This window comes from Homo sapiens, chromosome 17 (assembly GCF_000001405.40).
Source record: "Homo sapiens chromosome 17, GRCh38.p14 Primary Assembly".
Classification (NCBI taxonomy): domain Eukaryota; kingdom Metazoa; phylum Chordata; class Mammalia; order Primates; family Hominidae; genus Homo; species Homo sapiens.
The window spans coordinates 27,826,934-27,840,289 of NC_000017.11; positions in this window are offsets into that span (position 1 = coordinate 27,826,934).

Consider the following 13,356-nt stretch of genomic DNA (forward strand, 5'->3'; position numbering starts at 1 on the left):
ATGTACTCTTGTGTCTGGCTTTCTTAGCTTATTGTTACAGCCAAGAGAGGTACCATACTGCTGAATGTATTATTAATTTCTTCTTTTTCATTGCTATGTAAATTTATTTGATAGACATTAGGGTTTTGCAGACATTTTGTTGCTACCTTTTATCATAATGTCTACAAAATACTTATGCTAACATCCAATTTAGTGGTAAACTATTGAATAATTTTCTTCTGAGTTTGAAAACAAGACAAAAATATCTACTACTGTCTGAGTGCGGGTGACTCATGCCTGTAATCCCAGCACTTCAAGAGGCTGAGACAGGTGGATTGCTTGAGCCCAGGAGTTCAAGATCAGCCTAGACAACATAGCAAAACCCTGTCTCTGCAAAATAAATAACTAAATAAAATAGAAATTAGCCAGGTGTGTTGGAGTGCACCTGTAGTGCCAGCTACTCAGGAGGCTGAGGTGGGAGAATCACTCTTGCCTGGAGGTCAAGGCTGCAGTGAGACACAGTGGTGGCTCTGCACTCCAGCCTGTTGACAGAGCAAGACTCTGTCTCAAAAAAAAAAAAAAAAAAAAATTCTACTATCAGCAGTTCTATTCAATACTTTACTAAGAGACCTGAGTTCTGGCCCTTACCCCTGCCTCTAACTACCTAGGGACCTTGAATAAGTCAATTAACCACTCTGCTTCTTAGTTTCATCATCTTTGAAAATAACTAGATAATGCTTAAGATCCCTTCTGCATATCTAAGTTCCAAGTAAATGCACCTTTTTTTAAAAATGTGATACCACAACATGGATGAATCTTGAAAACATTATTCTAAGTGAAATAAGCCAGACACAAAAGGACTTTTTCCACTTACATAAGGTATCTAGCATAGTCAAATACACAGAGACAAGCTAGATCAACTAGGAGGAAAAAAGAGAGAAGACTCAAATAACTAAAATGAGAAATGAAACATTAGTACTAATTTTACAGAAATCAAAAGATTATGACAGTGCTTTGAACAATCCTAAACCAACAAACTGGATAACCTAGATGAAACGGACAAATCCTAGAAATACATGCTACCAAGATTGAATCATGAAGAAACCAGAAAATCTAAATAGACCTATAGTTTTAATAAGGAGATGGAATAAGTAATCAAAATAACTCCCAACAAATAAAAGCTCAGGGCCTTATGTCTTCATTGATGAATTCTACCAAACAATTGAAGGAGAATTAACACCAATCCTTCTCCAACTCTTCCAAAAAATTGAAGAGAAGGAAACACTTCCTAACTTATTGCATGGAGCCCTAATACCACAGACACAGGCATTACAAGAAAACTGCAGACCAATACCCCTGATGAATATTGACACAAAAGTTCTTAACAAAATATTAGCAAACTGGATTTAACATCATATTTAAAAGATTATATTGAAAGAATGATCCAGAGTAATTAGGCAAGAAAAAGAAATTAAAGGTATCTAAATTCGGAAGTAAAAAGTAAAATTGTCTGTTCACAAATGGCATAATTGTATATGTAGAAAACCCCAAAGAGTCCACAAAAAAAACTGTTAGAATTAACAAAGGATTTGGCAAAATTCCAGGACACAAAATAACACAGAAAAATCAGCTGCATTTCTATACACTAAAAATGAACAATTGGAAAAGAAAATTAAGAAAACAATTCCATTTACAATAGCACCAAAAAGAATAAAATACTTAGGAATTAACTGAGGGAGTGAAAGACTTATACACTGAAAACTACCAAAATATAGCTAAAAAATTAAAGAAGACACGATTAAATGAAAAGACATTCAGTGTCTTTTCACTGGATTGGAAGACTAATGCAGTTAAGATCAATGCAATTCCTATCAAAATCCCAAATGATATTTTTTGTAGAAATAGAAAAATTTATTATAAAATTCATATGAAATCCCAAAGGACCCTGAATAGTCAAAACAACTCGAAAGAGCAGAACAAAGTTGCAGGTTTCACAGACATTTTTTCCACCACTGTGTGACCTTGGGCAAGTTACTGAATCTCTCTGTTCCCAAGTTTCCTCATCTGTAGATGAGGATAACAACATCACCCACATCATAGGGCTTTTATGAATATCAAATGAATAAGGATATGGAAAATGCCTACAACACAGACTGAAACATAGTAAGTACTATATACAGAATAGCAGCTATTATTAATTTTTTATTAACATTACTCCCTGGATGGCTGGGGGAGCCTAGAGAATTTCTGCAGAGATATCTGGCTCCCTTGTAGGTGATTTAGCCAAGTGGTACCCATTTCTGAGAAGCATATTTTTTCTAGAGTCAAGTCAAGACTTAGAGCCAAGTGCCAAGAAAGAAAATTAGCCAGAGGGCTGAATCACTTGACTCACCTGGACAGGGAAAGCCCCACATCTGCTATGCTCAGACCTGCACAGGGTGCCGCAGAATGCACCAGTTTAATAAACTGGGGAAATTGGGGAGCTTGTTTCCTGTCCTTTGACTTGACTTTGGCAGCAAGGGGACAGCCCCAGCCCTTGCTTCCCAAAGCCAACTCATGCCCTTCCATTGACCACAAAAGAGCACACTGTCCTAGAGACAAGACTGTTACTCACCACCGCTGCCATTCACCTGGCACCCTAAGAAGGAATCTGTGCCTTCCAAAAGACACACAGCTAAAAAGAATCAATCACTGAGCTGTCCCCACAAGTGGAAACTTTCTCATTAAGAAGGCTGGAAGCAGGAGATGGAGTGTCTGCATTTAATTCTGTACCCTTTCCTTGTGGGAAGCATTGGTTGTCAATCCAGAGAAGCTGGAATCTTCCCTGGGAATCGCCGACAAGAGTGATAGGGGTCACTGTGATTCTAAACACTCCCTACAGGCATTTGCAATGCAGTTCTCACAGCTGGTTGCAAAAGTACCAGAAGAGAGAAGGCAAGAAAACAAGGTAATTGAATTCCCCGGCAAATGTGATTTAAGAAAAGTTGCCTTTGTATACAAGGTTAAACACTGGAACTGGGCCAGCTTGTCAGCTGGTTCAGGAGGGCAAGCCCAGGGCCAGGACATTTGCCTTTGAGCACAGGCCACTTGTACAGGTCTGGCTGTTTGCCACCATCCCAGCAGGACCACATTCCAGGTGGAAATGCCAAAATGTGCACACTGAGAATTTCCAACAGCTGAAGCTCCTCTTCAGGCCGTGAAGTCAGTGCTAGTCCTTGTGGCAACTCTAGCCAAGATCACCCTGGTTTTTTTACTTTCTCTCTTGAGAGCAGCACATAGAGGTAAATACAGTATTGAGCAACTAGTGGAAATAGAAGGCATGGGGGTTTTCTGGTGGCTGACTCAAGCTGGCTTGTTTGTGTTACCTGTATCAGCCGTGACTCTCAAATCCATCTTTCTGAAACTCAAGTCATTGTGAGCAACCACCTCTCATCCCTGAACCAAAGTCAAAAATAAATGTGACATGGGATCAGGCGTGGACGCGGGAGCTTAATTATAAATTGACTGCTCTCCCGAGAAGAAACGTCACTGATTCGAGCTTTCATGATTTCATGGTGAGACCTAAACCATTTTTGCTTCTGCAAAACCGCAGTCAAAGACATCTCTGAACAAGTTACCCCAAGTCTCTTACATGAGGATCTACGAAATCTAATTTTCCAGAAATGTAATGCCAAGTGAATGTTTGCTTCTCCAAACAAAAATGCTGCTTGTCAACAAGCAAACAAACAAAATGCTGATGCTGCTACTTCTTGGTTTTGTTCTTACTCTTCCTTGAAAATCAGGTGATTAAATTTACATGGTCCACCATTTCTCTTTTTGCCTTGAGTGCTAGGAAGCTCAGAGTCAAATTTCATGCTCAAACTATTTGTCCACATTCCTGATAGAATATTTCCCACTTTGCCATTATGAGGCTTCCAGTCTCTTTTTAAATGCTTCATGGTCACCGTATTTTAAGTTGTAAAACCCCTCATGTCCTTTTTAAATAAAGAGGCAGAATAAAATTAATTACTTAACTGGTTTAATCACTTAAACCTGACTTGGGGTTAAGCTCCAACCATGCTACTTAAAATAGAATTGAGCACCTAATGCTCCTGAGACCTTGGTAACAGCTATTGTTCAGAAAGAATTGGCTCTGGGTAGGGTTTGGGTTACTGATTTGAATCTGTTTTCTTGGAACTAATTTGAATTGATTGGTGAGGCTGAGGGACGGTCACTTCCTACACTCCTTTATTTGAAAGGATTATGTTTTTGTATTATAGCCAGGGAGGCAGGCAGGTGCAGTGACTCAAAATAATCTTCCTTGCTCTCAGCAAAGCACTTCACACGGCTACATACATCCATGTTCTTATCTTTCAGCCGAATTGTTACAACAAATACCAGCCCTGCAAAAATCTCAACAGAACAAAAGATCCCCAAGTCCTGGGAATTAAAAGAGATCCACTTATTAGAACAACTGTTCTCCTGCTTTGTTAACTAACAAAGCAGCAGAACAATTACAATACTTGGATTGCACTCAGGATTGGTTAAAACAGGTTTACACCTGGTTTATGAAATAAGTAAACATGGGTCGTGTTCACAATGTTATGTTAGGGCCCACTATTTGCAAAATCAATCAATTGCCATCTATTCAGTTAGAACCCTGGATTAGTTGGAATTGTGCAAGTTGCTGGTACCAAAATGGAGTCTCTTATGTCAAAACTCTAATAAAATGGAGTTGGGGGCATGAAAGAAGGAGCTCTCATATGCATATCTGTACCCTGTCTTATCACAAGAAATTCCTACACACCCCACATGCCCCACTTGTCCCACATAGCATACATGCCCTGCATGTACCCTATAACAGCTTATCAGAAGAACTTTCTCAATATTGCAGTATTTTAGGTGAGCTGGCTACACCAGGACACTTAGCTGACAATGGCTGTCACCACCAATGAACAAATGCCAACTCTGTCATGAGCTTCTGTGATCTATGGACTTTGTTTCAAAGCAATTTATGTGGACTTCTTTTTGTCTTTCAAAGACTCTCCTTTGCCCCAATACTCCTGGATATGTTTATGATCAATCATAGCCCACATATCCTGAGCTTGCAACCCCTCACTATTCGCAAATAAACACATTTGTTCTGGAGAGCCTATCCCTTTGAGTTTAATTTTAGGTTTATATACAATGATGTCAAAAGTGGAATCCAAAGCAAGCTTCACCTCAGACAGATTGGTGGCCCCCAGGACTATGTGCTGTACCCACCAAGCCACTTGCACGCCCCACTTCCATGAGTTGTCGCTTTGCCCTGGTCAGTCTCCTCTTGAATTTTGGTTGCTCCTGAATTTCGGTTAACTTTATTCAATATCTGGTTCTATAAAAGCCTAAAGGTCATCATCCTTCTGGTTTGACCTGCATGTCTGGCTTACAGTTTTGGTGAGTTAGATTTTTCTTATTTCTGAACATCTTCCAAGGGCAAAATAACATAATCAGGGGCACAGGTCAACACTGTTTTGGCTTTCTATCTACCAGGGCATACAGCTTATTAGGCCTGCCTCTGCAGGTGCCCGATCAAAAGGTTGGCAGCCCCCAAGAAAATGGCTGGACAGAAATGTGGATTGCACCACATTTGTGGTGAGTATATTTATAAAGTTTTTCCTTTTGCTCTTGGGAAATTAATAAGAAGGAGAATGGAATCCCCAAATTCTAAAGCTTGAAGAGATAGTCCTTCTTTAGGGACTCCAGCTGACTACATGTTCAAACATTGTGGCCCTTTCTCATGCACATTTTTAAGCCAATAGGCAAATTACAGCAAAGATAGTTTTAAAATATAATGGCTATCATCTAGAATGTTCCATATGAACAACAACACACTTTAAGAAGTACATTTAAAAATTAGGGCTCCCAAATTAGGCTATCTAGAGGTGTCTATTGATGTGCAGAAGCTTCTAAGAAGATTTCAAAATTTTTTATTGTCTCTTTAAAAAGACTTCTTACAGACAGCAAATAAAAAATTTAAGTGACTAATTGGAAAAAAAAAAAAAAGGATACAAAGGAGTATAATGGCTAACATTAGAGACTCCCTTAGCAGATCCCTCATAGGAGCATGCAGGCCCCACCCCACAATGTGGAAATAAAGGGAAAGAGTTCCTTCAAGGGAAATTCCAGCTTTGTCTAAAAATCTTCCCTTAGCAAGATTTTTAAAAGCTGAAATCAGAGCAAAGTTAAAGTTATTTAAACCCACCATAAATTCCTTTTCTCTGTAAATTCCTTTGATTCAGGAGAAAAACATTTACAAGAACTTGTTTAAATTATTTGTGCATTTGAAGCATTGTAAGAACTTCTTGTTTGTTTGGCCTTCTCTCTTAAGCTAAAAAGGAACTATGTACAATCATGGGTCACTTAATGGCAGGGATATTGTATTCGTCCATTCTCACACTGATAATGAAGTTATACCCCAGACTGGGTAATTTATAAAGAAAAAGAGGCTTAATGAACTCACAGTTCCACATGGCTGGGGAGGCCTCACAGTCATAGCAGAAAGTGAAGGAGGAGCAAAGGCACATCTTACATGGCAGCAGGCAAGAGAGCATGTGCAGGGGAACTGCCCTTTATAAAACCATCAGATCTTGTGAGACTATTCACTATAAGGGGAACAGCATGGAAAAAACCTACCCCATGATTCAGTTACCTCCCACTGGTTTTCTCCCGCAACATGTGGGGCTTACGGGAGCTACAATTCAAGATGGGACTTGGGTGGGGACACAGCCAAACCATATCAGATATGTTCTGAGAAATGCATCATGAGGTGATTTCATTATTGTGCAAATATCATTGAGTGTACTTACATAAACCTAGATGGTATAGCCTACAGCATACCTTGGCTATATGGTACAGCCTATTGCTCCTAGGCTACAAACCTGTACAGCATGTGACTGTACTGAATACTGTAAGTAACTGTAACACAATGGTAAGCATTTGCATATCTAAACATAGAAAAGGCACAGTAAAAAAATACAGTACAAAAGTTTTTTTCAAAGGTATACCTGTAGAGGGCACGTACCATGAATGGAGCTTGCAGGACTGGAAGTTGCTCTGAGTGAATCGGTAGGTGAGTGGTGAGTGAAGATGAAGGCCTAGGACATTATTGTACACTACTGTAGATTTACTGTACATTTAGATGACACTAAATTCATTTAGAATTCCTTTCTTCAATAATAAATTAACCTTGGCTTACTATAACTTTTTTACTTTATAAACTTTTTAATTTTTAAAAAACTTTTTGACTCATAATAACACAGCTTAAAACACAAATACATTGCACAGCTATACAAAAATATTTTGTCTCTATTCTTATAAGCTTTTCTTGTTAATTCTTGTTTTTTTTTTTACTTTTTAAACTGTTTTATTAGAAACTAAGGCACACCACACATTAGCTTAGGCCTACACAGTGTCAGGATCATCAATATCACAACTGCCTTCCATCTCCACATCTTGTCCCACTGGAAGGTCTTTGGGGGAACAATGTGCATGGAGCTGTCATCTCCTGTGATAACATACCTTCCTCTGGAATACCTCCTGAAGGACCTGCCTGAGGCTATTTTATAGTTCACTTAAAAAAATAAGTACAAGGAGTATACTCTGAAATAACAGTAAAAAGTATATTGTCATATTCACATAGTCAATAAAAATGATAGTTATTTGTTTACATATGTATAGGAAATACACAAACCAGTAACATAGTCATTGTATTATCATTATCAAGTATTATATACCTTACATAACTGTCTGTGAGATATTTTTGTACAACTGCAGCACGGTAGGTTTGTCTACACCAGCATCACCACAAACATGAGTAATGCATTGCACTTGGATGCCAAGATGGCTATGACCACACCCAGACCTGCAACGCTGCAGGTATTAAGACCAGAGGTGTCTCCCTACTGATCCCAGCAAGTCCATTTGTGTGAAAACAGACAGGGAGCTGCCAGAAGTTCAAATGTAGGATTTCAAGTGCCCAGCCAAGTCATTGGCTCCCAGAATACATAATGAAAACCAACAACAAACAAATCGAAACAGCTCAGAAGCAAAGCAAAGTGCTATTGGAAAAGCAGCACCAGTGCTTTTGTGAGATTCAGAGATATAATCCCTGCCACCTCCAAAAAGAAGCAATAAGAACAATTATGTAAGATTCTTTAGGGCAAGGACTGAGATAGAGCAGGGACCCCTCATAGGAGCCTGTAGGCCCCTCCCTGCAACATGGAAATAAAGGAAAAGAGTTTCTTCAAGGGAAACTCCAGGCACCTAGCTAGCCCTGAGAAGAAAATGAGTGACCTGATCATTAAGAAGGTAATAGTAGCTTAAAACTATAACCAAGGAAGTTAGAGTCACAAGATGTTCCCTGTAGAACATTATATTTATCCCTTTATCCCTAACGATAACGTCTTAACATACGTTTCTCTGAGTTGTTTTTCAGGTACCTGGACCCCTACCAAATGGATCCACTAGCACACAGGCCTCAGATAAGGGGGAACTGCGGATTGAACTCTGACCACTCCTCTTTCTTCTGAAGTTCTTCCTGAGGGACCTGGAGGAAATCATACCCACAAACCAGAGCTTACATTCTTTTCTACTGACCCCAAATTTTTAGACAAAGCTTTGCTTCCTTAACCAATTGCAAATCAGAAAATCTTTGAATCTTTGAATGCTTTGAGACATCCCCCCTTTTTAGGTCAAAGCAATATATAGCCTCCATGTATTAATATGTAGTTGTGCCTGTAACCTCTGCCTCCCTGCCTTAAAAAACCCTTAACAAGCCATCGGGGAAGCCAGGTCTTAAGCATGAGCTGCTGGATTCTCCTTGCTGGGCACTCGCAAATAAACATCCTCCTTTCTCCCACTGCAAACCTTGGTGTAGATGTTTGGACTTACTGTGCCAGGTGAGTGGTCAGTGGATCCCAAGTGGATTCAGTAACAATTAGTTGGCAACTACAAAGGGGCGAAAGTCCCAACCGGTGGCCTTGCCCATGGCACACCAGCCCCTGGCTGCAGCCACCCTTGGACCCTGTCCGGCAGTTGGCTGAATTATTTTGCTCAGGGATGGATCCATGCATTTTATGCTTGACCAGGTGTCATGGGCCATGGCATTTTTACTTTTGTAGCATTAAAAATAAGGCACTGGGCTTGGAAGATGTCCTTCGTAAGTGGTAGGTTTGTGGGCAACAGCCCCAAGGTATTTTTTTCTTTGGACACTGGGTTCTGCTTTGGCAGGACAACTGACTTTGCTTTGGCAAGGCCCTGGGCCCTGCTTTCTTAGAGTATTTGGTTTGATTGGGGATACTCACTAGAGAGCTGAAGGGATCCAGAACTTGAGAAACCATATTTGGTTTTGACTTGCTGAAAACAGACTTGCTTGAAACTCTATCTGAAGCCTGGCTGAGGCAGCAAGGTTTTCATCACCTATGGTTTTGTCATCTAAAATGGGAAACACAAGCTCTATTCTACCTTGCAGCCCATTAGGGTGTATTCTGCAGAACTGGGCCATTTTTAGCTTTCAGCCCATGAAAAAGAAAAAGTTTTTTTTTTTTTTAATTGTAGTACTGCTTGGCTGCAATATTCTTTAGACTCTGGAGGAAAATGGCCTGAAAAGGGGTCCTTTAAATTGGACTCCTAAATTCAAAAAATAATTTTAGAGATCTCTTTTTCTAAACAGTTGATGGGAAAATCAAATTTTAAAAAGGAAATGCAATAGCGTCATGGCTAGCCTTAAGAATTCTCTTGACTAAATTAAAGAACAAAAATATAACCTAAAACAAAGTTAAAAAATATTGCAAGCTAAAAACTACATGACTTAGATCTTCTCCAGGAATAACAGCAAAGACCATTCCATACTGTAGTCTAGCAGCTAAAGTTCCACCATTTCACTACAGCAGCTTGGGTTCAGTCAGGGAACTGAAACCACCTTTGCAAAAATTATATCAATGAGAAAATTATGACAGTGAAAGAGATCTGATCTAACCCACCCTCCTCTTTCATTTCCTTTAATCATTCCTGGGTTTAGGCCTAGCTAACTTTGGAAGACACTTAGGTTATAGGCCTTCCCCAGAGTTCAACCACCTTTGTAAAGCTAATAAGAGACCCTCAGTCTAGGGGGAGGAGAGAAGCCCAAATTCTGCTAAGGCATAGACATAAATGACTGTCAGCCATTATTCCAGGGGTCCTGCAAATAGCATCACTATTGTAGAACCTAAGATTGGCCTTTTTATATATCTTTTCAGGCTTTTTGCATGTCTTCTATCCATGGCTCCACCTAGACCTGCCAACTCCATTCCTGTGGCCCCACCCAGAAGCAACTCAGCTCAAGAGCCTTTGAAAATCCCCTAACCTACTAGCCTGAGATGAGATTGATTTGAGTGCTAACTCAATCTCCTGCATGGCATGGCCAGCCTCATGTCAATTAAACTCTTTCTTTGCTGCAATGCTGTGGTCTTTATTTGTGCAGTGGGCAGGAAGAACCCAATGGAAAATTACAGAACAAGTCTTATTGATTTGATATTCATGTGACTTTTGCAACTTACTGATTCTTTTCCTTTCCAGGAACCGCTTTTGATTTCCTGCCCTCTTCCATCTTAGAGGCATATGGACTTTGGGGGTCTTCGTGTTTAGATTCTCAGCTGAGATTCTAGAGAATATGGCCAAACAGAAATGTGGCTTGTACTCCATTTGTAGCTAGCAAAATTTTTCTTTCTTTGAGCTGTCTTGAGGGTGATTCTGGATCTTGTGAGCACTGATTTTCACCTCTTCGGAGACCTCATGCAACTCTTGGTTGAGTCATGTTAAAAGAAAAACTTTAGCCGAATTAAATTTAAAGGAGTTTAATTGAGCAATGAATGATTCGCAAATTGGGCAGTCCCCAGAATCACACCAGATTCAAAGAGACTCCAGGGATGCCTCATGGTCAGAACAAATTCATAGACCAAAAAGGAGGGAAGTGACATACAGAAATTTGCAAAGGAGAGTCTTTGAAAGACAAAAGGAAGTCCACATAAATTGCTTTGAAACAAAGTCCATAGATCACAGAAGCTCATGACAAGAGTTGGCATTTGTTCATTGGTGGTGACAGCCATTGCCAGCTAAGTGTCCTGGTGTAGCCAGCTCACCTAAAATACTGCAATATTGAGAAAGTTCTTCTGATAAGCTGTTATAGGGTACATGCAGGGCATGTATGCTATGTGGGACAAGTGGGGCATGTGGGGTGTGTAGGAATTTCTTGTGATAAGACAGGGTACAGATATGCATATGAGAGCTCCTTCTTTCATGCCCCCAACTCCATTTTATTAGAGTTTTGACATAAGAGACTCCATTTTGGTACCAGCAACTTGCACAATTCCAACTAATCCAGGGTTCTAACTGAATAGATGGCAATTGATTGATTTTGCAAATAGTGGGCCCTAACATAACATTGTGAACACGACCCATGTTTACTTATTTCATAAACCAGGTGTAAACCTGTTTTAACCAATCCTGAGTGCAATCCAAGTATTGTAATTGTTCTGCTGCTTTGTTAGTTAACAAAGCAGGAGAACAGTTGTTCTAATAAGTGGATCTCTTTTAATTCCCAGGACTTGGGGATCTTTTGTTCTGTTGAGATTTTTGCAGGGCTGGTATTTGTTGTAACAATTCGGCTGAAAGATAAGAACATGGATGTATGTAGCCGTGTGAAGTGCTTTGCTGAGAGCAAGGAAGATTATTTTGAGTCACTGCACCTGCCTGCCTCCCTGGCTATAATACAAAAACATAATCCTTTCAAATAAAGGAGTGTAGGAAGTGACCGTCCCTCAGCCTCACCAATCAATTCAAATCAGTTCCAAGAAAACAGATTCAAATCAGTAACCCAAACCCTACCCAGAGCCAATTCTTTCTGAACAATAGCTGTTACCAAGGTCTCAGGAGCATTAGGCGCTCAATTCTATTTTAAGTAGCATGGTTGGAGCTTAACCCCAAGTCAGGTTTAAGTGATTAAACCAGTTAAGTAATTAATTTTATTCTGCCTCTTTATTTAAAAAGGACATGAGGGGTTTTACAACTTAAAATACGGTGACCATGAAGCATTTAAAAAGAGACTGGAAGCCTCATAATGGCAAAGTGGGAAATATTCTATCAGGAATGTGGACAAATAGTTTGAGCATGAAATTTGACTCTGAGCTTCCTAGCACTCAAGGCAAAAAGAGAAATGGTGGACCATGTAAATTTAATCACCTGATTTTCAAGGAAGAGTAAGAACAAAACCAAGAAGTAGCAGCATCAGCATTTTGTTTGTTTGCTTGTTGACAAGCAGCATTTTTGTTTGGAGAAGCAAACATTCACTTGGCATTACATTTCTGGAAAATTAGATTTCGTAGATCCTCATGTAAGAGACTTGGGGTAACTTGTTCAGAGATGTCTTTGACTGCGGTTTTGCAGAAGCAAAAATGGTTTAGGTCTCACCATGAAATCATGAAAGCTCGAATCAGTGACGTTTCTTCTCGGGAGAGCAGTCAATTTATAATTAAGCTCCCGCGTCCACGCCTGATCCCATGTCACTTTTATTTTTGACTTTGGTTCAGGGATGAGAGGTGGTTGCTCACAATGACTTGAGTTTCAGAAAGATGGATTTGAGAGTCACGGCTGATACAGGTAACACAAACAAGCCAGCTTGAGTCAGCCACCAGAAAACCCCCATGCCTTCTATTTCCACTAGTTGCTCAATACTGTATTTACCTCTATGTGCTGCTCTCAAGAGAGAAAGTAAAAAAACCAGGGTGATCTTGGCTAGAGTTGCCACAAGGACTAGCACTGACTTCATGGCCTGAAGAGGAGCTTCAGCTGTTGGAAATTCTCAGTGTGCACATTTTGGCAATTTCCACCTGGAATGTGGTCCTGCTGGGATGGTGGCAAACAGCCAGACCTGTACAAGTGGCCTGTGCTCAAAGGCAAATGTCCTGGCCCTGGGCTTGCCCTCCTGAACCAGCTGACAAGCTGGCCCAGTTCCAGTGTTTAACCTTGTATACAAAGGCAACTTTTCTTAATTCACATTTGCCGGGGAATTCAATTACCTTGTTTTCTTGCCTTCTCTCTTCTGGTACTTTTGCAACCAGCTGTGAGAACTGCATTGCAAATGCCTGTAGGGAGTGTTTAGAATCACAGTGACCCCTATCACTCTTGTCGGCGATTCCCAGGGAAGATTCCAGCTTCTCTGGATTGACAACCAATGCTTCCCACAAGGAAAGGGTACAGAATTAAATGCAGACACTCCATCTCCTGCTTCCAGCCTTCTTAATGAGAAAGTTTCCACTTGTGGGGACAGCTCAGTGATTGATTCTTTTTAGCTGTGTGTCTTTTGGAAGGCACAGATTCCTT